At 47.2% G+C, this 7,461-nt stretch overlaps 1 pseudogene; it reads left to right on the top strand.

Annotated features, from left to right (window-relative positions):
- On the top strand, positions 5,090-6,551 carry DUX4L44 (double homeobox 4 like 44 (pseudogene); annotated as a pseudogene).

The raw sequence follows: 7,461 nt of genomic DNA, 5'->3' as shown, positions 1-7,461 counted from the left end.
TGCCTTGCTAGATTGGGGAAGTTCTCCTGGATAATATCCTGCAGAGTGTTTTCCAACTTGGTTCCATTCTCCCTGTCACTTTCAGGTAAACCAAATAGACGTAGATTTGGTCTTTTGACATAGTCCCATATTTCCTGGAAGCTTTGTTCATTTCTTTTTATTCTTTTTTTTTTTTTTTTTTTTTTTTTTTTTTTTTTTTTTTTTTGAGACGGAGTCTCGCTCTGTCGCCCAGGCCGGACTGCGGACTGCAGTGGCGCAATCTCAGCTCACTGCAAGCTCCGCTTCCCGGGTTCACGCCATTCTCCTGCCTCAGCCTCCCGAGTAGCTGGGACTACAGGCGCCCGCCACCGCGCCCGGCTAATTTTTTGTATTTTTAGTAGAGACGGGGTTTCACCTTGTTAGCCAGGATGGTCTCGATCTCCTGACCTCATGATCCACCTGCCTCGGCCTCCCAAAGTGCTGGGATTACAGACGTGAGCCACCGCGCCCGGCCTTATTCTTTTCTCTCTAAACTGCTCTTCATGCTTCATTACATTCATTTCATCTTCCACCACTGATACCCTTTCTTCCAGTTGATCACATCGGTTACTGAGGCTTATGCACTTGTCATGAAGTTCTCGTGCCATGGTTTTCAGCTCCATCAGGTCCTTTAAGGACTTCTCCACATTGGTTATTCTAGTTATCCATTTGTCTAATTTTTTATTCAAGGTTTTTAACTTCTTTGTCATTGGTTCGAACTTCCTCCTTTAGCTCGGAGTACTTTGATCTTCTGAAGCCCTCCTCTCTCAACTCGTCAAAGTCATTCTCCGTCCAGCTTTGTTCCATTGCTGGTGAGGAGCTGTATTCCTTTGGAGGAGGAGAGGCACTCTGAGTTTTAGAGTTTCCGGTTTTTCTGCTCTGTTTTTCCCCATCTTTGTGGTTTTATCTACCTTTGGTCCTTGATGATGGTGACATATAGATGGGGTTTTGGTGTGGATGTCCTTTCTGCTTGTTAGTTTTCCTTCTAACAATCAGGACCCTCAGCTGCAAGTCTGTTGGAGTTTACTGGAGGTCTACTGCAGACACTATTTGCCTGGGTATCAGCAGTGGTGGCTGCAGAACTGTGGATATTGGTGAGCTGCAAATGCTGCTGCCTGATTGTTCCTCTGGAAGTTTTGTCTCAGAGGGGTACCCAGCCATGTGAGGTGTCAGTCTGCCTCTACTGGGGGGTGCCTCCCAGTTAGGCTACTCGGGGGTCAGGGACCAACTAGGGGGGGTTGTCTGCCGTTCTCAGATCTCAAGCTGCATGCTGGGAGAACCACTATTCTCTTCAAAGCTGTCAGACAGGGACATTTAAGTCTGCAGAGGTTATTGCTGTCTTTTGTTTGTCTGTGCCCTGCCCCCAGAGATGGAGCCTACAGTGGCAGGCTGGCCTCCTTGTGCTCTGGTGGGCTCCACCCAGTTCGAACTTCCCAGCTGCTTTATTTACTTACTCAAGCCTGAGCAATGGCAGGCTCCCCTCCCCCAGCCCCACTATTACCTTGCAGTTTGATCTTAGACTGCTGTGCTAGCAAACAGCAAGGCTCCGTGGGTGTAGGACCCTCCAAACCATGTGCGGGATGTAATCTCTTGGTGTGCCATTTGATAAGCCTGTTGGAAAAGTGCAGTATTAGGGTGGGAGTGACCTGATTTTCCAGGTGCCATCTGTCACCCCTTTCTTTCTTTGACTAGGAAAGAGAATTCCCTGACCCCTAGAGCTTCCCAGGTGAGGTGATGTCTTGCCCTGCTTTGGCTCATACATGGTGCGCTGCACCCACTGTCCAGCATTCCCCAGTGAGATGAACCTTGTACCTCAGTTGGAAATGCAGAAATCACCCGTCTTCTGCATCACACACGCTGGGAGCTGTAGACTGGAGCTGTTCCTATTTGGCCATCTTGGCTCCACCCTCTAATTTATGACATTCAAAAGATCAGATACATTTACCCTCTTCTGAATTTTAATTGCTGATGGAAAGATTGTGAAATCTCAAGAGGATAATGAATCAGCTTCTGATTATATTCTGGAATTACAATTTGATCACCCATCCAAGAATGCATATTCACTTTCCTTTACATTACACGCATGCATAATACCATGCTGAGTGATGCTGGAAAAAGTGAGTCTTCAGTAATGCCCTCATGAAATTACAGTCTCACTACACTGAGGTATTTTCTTTTTAACCCTTTCTTTCTTTTCTGCTGTGAATATGTGCCTTCTAAGAGGTGAACGACTGGGAAAAACTGAAAAAGAACCTTCAACTAATTCAGTAACTAGCTTTTGTATCTTCTAACAATTTTTATCTCCAGAAAGCTCTAATTTTCATTCCTTTACAAGCTTTATTTCTCTCTCCTTTCCAAAACCAGACTTTGCTCTGTTTGTTTTCTATACCTTTTTAGAGATGCCTACAATAGATAAAAACTATGACATATTCAATACATCTGAAAAGTTTGCATTGCCATAGATAAGAATGAATTATCTGTTTATAAAGAAAAAAACAATAAAAATATGAACCAAGAAAGCACAGAAGGTAGTAACCACATTTAGATGTTTATCGTAGAATCATCTTTATAATCCATCTGTTACAATTCCACAGAGCAAATTACAAGTAATTGTGAAGTTTCCCCTCATTTTATACGTTTGGTCTTATAAGGCATACAACACAAATTTTAATTACTTTTCTTTTTGGTATTTCGATCTTAATTTGGTCAAGTCGCCACTGGGTAGATGATGGAGCCTCATGAGACATACAGTCTTCTTCTAGCTTTGTTGATGTGAATATTACTGTGTATTTTTCATTCACTTATTATTTTACAAGGCATGCTTCATTAAAAATATGTCAGCATCTCATTGACAAATCACAAAATTTTAAAGGCACAAGAAAAAAGCAATTTATTTAAAACATTCCTGTGTAAAAGTAGTCACCACTCTTACTATTCTTCAAATATTTTTATTATATTTAAACGCAAGCCTAGTTTTATCTCGAGTGTCTGACCTTGATGATATTGTATACTTTAAACTTAGAAAAATTGAACTCTATTGGAAATTTCCTACAGATCAGCTTTTCTAGATGACAAGCGCCTTGTTTCAGCCATGGAGATGACAGCAAATTAGGTTCTCAGGGATTCTGGCCTCTGGCATCATCTCAGTTGTTTATAATTGAAGTTGGCTCTGATGAGAACTCAGCTTAGATGCATGGTTGGACTGCTGGGCTTAAGGCTGGCCTGCCAGGAGGTTGCGTTGAGGTGTAACTAGGCAAAGAAAGAAGGAGTTTATTGAGGCACTACTGACAATAGGAAAGACTTGGAACCAACCCAAATGTCCAACAATGATAGACTGGATTAAGAAAATGTGGCACATATACAGCATGGAATCCTATGCAGCCATAAAAATGATGAGTTCATGTCCTTTGTAGGGACATGGATGAAGCTGGAAACCATCATTCTCAGCAAACTATCACAAGGACAAAAAAACAAACCCCGCATGTTCTCACTCATAGGTGGGAATTAAACAATGAGAACACATGGACACAGGAAGGGGAACAGCACACACTGGGGCCTGTTGTGGGGTGAGGGGCTAGGGGAGGGAAAGCATTAGGATATATACCTAATGTAAATGACGAGTTAATGGATGCAGCACACTAACATGTCACATGTATACATATGAAACGAACCTGCACGTTGTGCACATGTACCCTAGAACTTAAAGTATAACCAAAAAAAAGAAGGGGTTGGGCAAAATTGCCAACAATCTTCAACTATGAATTTTATGAGTAGGGGCTTCCCACACAATCAGGCACTCCAAGTTGGAGAAACAAGGGATGTTGAATTGAAAGTTTAATTTTTTAGGCTTGATAGTCAGATTAGGGAAGTTTTGGGTACACCTTTCCCACTCTAGAGCCCTCTCCCTAACTCAGGGCCAATTTGGGACATGGGCTCAATGGAAAAGAGTGCCGAGATCAATTAGAAATATCCATCATGAACATAGGAGGCAGGCATTCTGGCCAAGGGGGTGCATCTTCCCACTTTGTAATCCAGAGTGCGATTTCTTCTTGCTATCTGTCCCTCCATAAATAAGCGTTGGGTGAAGGACAAGCTAGTTACAACTGAGGATGGAATGAGATTCTAGCAGAATTGCAAAATGAACTGAAAGCCACAAAACTGTTCCTCTGTGAACCAGCAGAGAGATCTGTGGAAGGCAAAGGAATAGGAGCCAAGAGGCCAGATAACATTCCTGCTTCCCTTACATTGTGAGAGTGAAATTGTCAGCAACCTATATCAGTAATTAACCAGAGGCTTTTTAGAGAGTAAGACTTCTGATAGATACCTCAATAGCTGAAGTTGCTCTTCAGTACTGCACATAACCTGTGGACAGATTTTCATCATTATTAATTCATTTATTCAACAGATAGATATTAAATTCAAGGCATAGTTCTAAACTATGCAGTCAATTACAAAAAAAATAATGAAGGGCATTAGCTCTGCTTCCTAGGACGTTAAAAGTCTAGCGCTAAGTGAGACAAATAGGGTTCCCACATCAAGTGCCTGGGCTCCTGTTATAACCTGGACTCTGCTTCCATTGGCTTATCTTGTTTCTGTTTTGGTAAATCCATCATTTGTCTTAGTCCCTATCCTTGCCATGCTCACCCACCAGTAGGTGGGCCTCCTTGACCATAACTACAGACATAGATCTTTGATTGTTTCTTTTCAAATATTTGCTTACTTTAGAGCTGCAGTCAAATGTTGTTTGGACCATAAGACTCTAAGGCTGTGTGTGGTTGAAACTGTCTTGAGACTCAAAGAGCTATTGAGGAAGGGATTTGGTAGCTGAACTCATTTGAAGATTTTCTCTGTCTCTCACACATCTGGGGCTGAATAGCTTAACGTTTAATTTCTACATCGATGATAGTTTAATAGCCATTCATGCAAATCAGTTCTGCTGTGAGTTATTTTCCTACTCCAATAACAAGTAACGCATTCCTTAAATTTAGTGTACGTATAAATTCTACAAGGTAAGTGAAGCTGTCTTTATGCATTGCTGCTATAGAATATACTAGATTGTGTAGGTTTTAGAGCCTGGGGCTCTCCCTCAGGGGGCTTTCGTGAGCCAGGGAGCGAGGGCCGTCCCTGTGCTCCAGGCCAGCCTGGCCGTGCCGGCAGAGGGGATCTCCCAACCTGCCCCAGCACGCGGGGATTTTCTCTACGCCACCCCGGCTCCTCTGGAAGGGGCGCTCTCCCACCCTCAGGCTCCTCGGTGGCCTCGGCACCCAGGCAAAAGCCGGGAGGACTGGGAACCGCAGCGTGACGGCCTGCTGGGCCCTTGCGCGGTGGGACAGCCTGGGCCCGCTCAAGCGGGGCCACAAGGCCAAGGTGTGCTTGCGATACCCGCGTCCCAGGGGAGTCCGTGGTGGGGCTGGGGCCGGGGTCCCCAGGTCGCCAGGGCAGCGTGGGAACCCCAAGCCGGAGCAGCTCCACCTCGCCAGCCCACGCCCCCGGAGGCCTCCGCGTGGCAGGGGCTGATGCAAGGCATCCAGGTGCCCACCGAGGTGCTCCAGGAGCCAGGGTGCTCGTCTGCACTCCCCTCCGGCCTTCTGCTGGATGAGCTCCTGGTGAGCCAGGAGTTCCTGCAGCAGGGGCTACCTTTCCTAGAAACGGAGGCCCCAGGGGAGCTGGAGGCCTTGGAAGAGGCCGCCTCGCTGGAAGAACCCCTCAGCGAGGAAGAATACCGGGGTCTGCTGGAGGAGCTTTAGGACATGGGGTTGGGACGGGGTCGGGTCGGGGCAGGGCGGTGGACTCTCTTTTGCCAGGAACACCTGGCTGGCTATAGAGGGGCAAGTCTTCACCCCACCCCCACCACTGGGCTGACCGGCCTGGGATTCCTGCCTTCTAGGTTTAGGCCTGGTGAGAGGCTCCACACAGCAGAGAACTGCCATTTTTTCTTGGTAATCCCGTGGATCCCACCGCCGGCCCAGGTACCAGAGGTGGGCCGCATACTGCGCACGCAAGGGTTTTTGGGCAGCCGCCTGGGCTTTGAGAGCAGCCGGGCAGAGCTCTCACGCCTTTCCACCACCCCACCCCCGCACGACCACCCCCTCCGCACTCCCACAATCCCCCCAGAAAATGCGTCCTCCCCAGGGCTGGGTGGAGACCCCTGTCCTGAGAAACACCGGGCCCGCGCAGCGTCCAGGCCTGACAACAGTCCAGCGGCTCGCCTCTTCTCTGCCTCCACGCCACCGTCACCAGCCCACCCGTGCCCCTGCCGCCTCCCAGCTGCCACCATGGAGCGCTTGGCGGCGGAACGCAGACCTCTAGCACTCTTTGCTGGCCTCCTGGCTAGACCTGCACTCATTGTGCACACTGGCTGACGTGCAAGGGAGCCCGCTGGCCTCTCTATGCCCTTTTCCGTCAGTGAAATTCTGGCTGAGGTTCTCCAAACACCTTCCGATGCTCTTTCATCAAAGCCTGGAGAATGGTTACATCTCCTGGATGATCAGTTCAGAAACATGTCACAATGCCCCTCCCTGCGGAGCCTAGAGAAGATTTGCATCATTTGGGTGATCAGTGCAGAGATATTTCACAATGTCCCCTGTACAAAAAGCCCGGGAATGATTTACATCACCTCGGTGATCAGTGCATAGGTATGTCAGAAATCCTCAGTAGGCTGAAACTAGACAAGGGTTACATCATTTAGGCGATCAGTGTAGAGATATGTGAAAATTCCCGTGTAGACAGAGCCTAGACAAGTGTTACATCACCTAGTGATCAGTGCAGGGTTAAGTCATAAAGCCTCCTGTAGGAAGAGTGTAGACAAGTGTTTCCTCCCTGGGGTGATCAGTGCAGAGATATGTCACAAAGCTCCTATAAGCAGAACCTTGAAAAGGGTTACATCACCTGTTGGATCAGTGGAAATGTATATCACAAAGTCCCTGTAGGCAAAGCCCAGACAATTGTTACATCACCTGGGTGAGCAGTGTAGAGATCTGTCACAATGCCCCTGTAGGCAGAGCTTAGACAAGGGTTACATCACCTGGGTGATCAGTGCAGAGATATGTCAAAACGCTCCTGTAGGCTGAACCTAGACAGGAGTTACGTCACCTGGGTGATCAGTGCAGAGACATGTGAGAATTCCCGTGTAGGCAGAGCCTAGACCAGTGTTACATCACCTAGGTTATCAGTGGAGGTATAAGTCATAAAGCCTCCTGTAGGCCGAGCGTAGAGAAGACTTCTCCCCCCAGGGTGAACAGTGCAGAGATGTGTCACAAAGCCCCTGTAGGGAGAGCCTAGACAAGAGTTTCATCACTTGGTTGATCAATACAGAAATGTGTCACAATGTCCATGTAGGCAGATTTAAGACAAGAGCCCATCTCCTCGGTGATCAGTGCAGAGAGATGTACCAATGTCCCCTGTAGGCAGTGCCTAGACAAGAGTTGCATCACCTCAGAGATC

This window comes from Homo sapiens, chromosome 22 (genome assembly GCF_000001405.40).
Source record: "Homo sapiens chromosome 22, GRCh38.p14 Primary Assembly".
NCBI classification, from domain to species: domain Eukaryota; kingdom Metazoa; phylum Chordata; class Mammalia; order Primates; family Hominidae; genus Homo; species Homo sapiens.
Note: the sequence above shows the minus strand (reverse complement) of the source record. Positions and strands in the feature narration are given on the sequence as shown.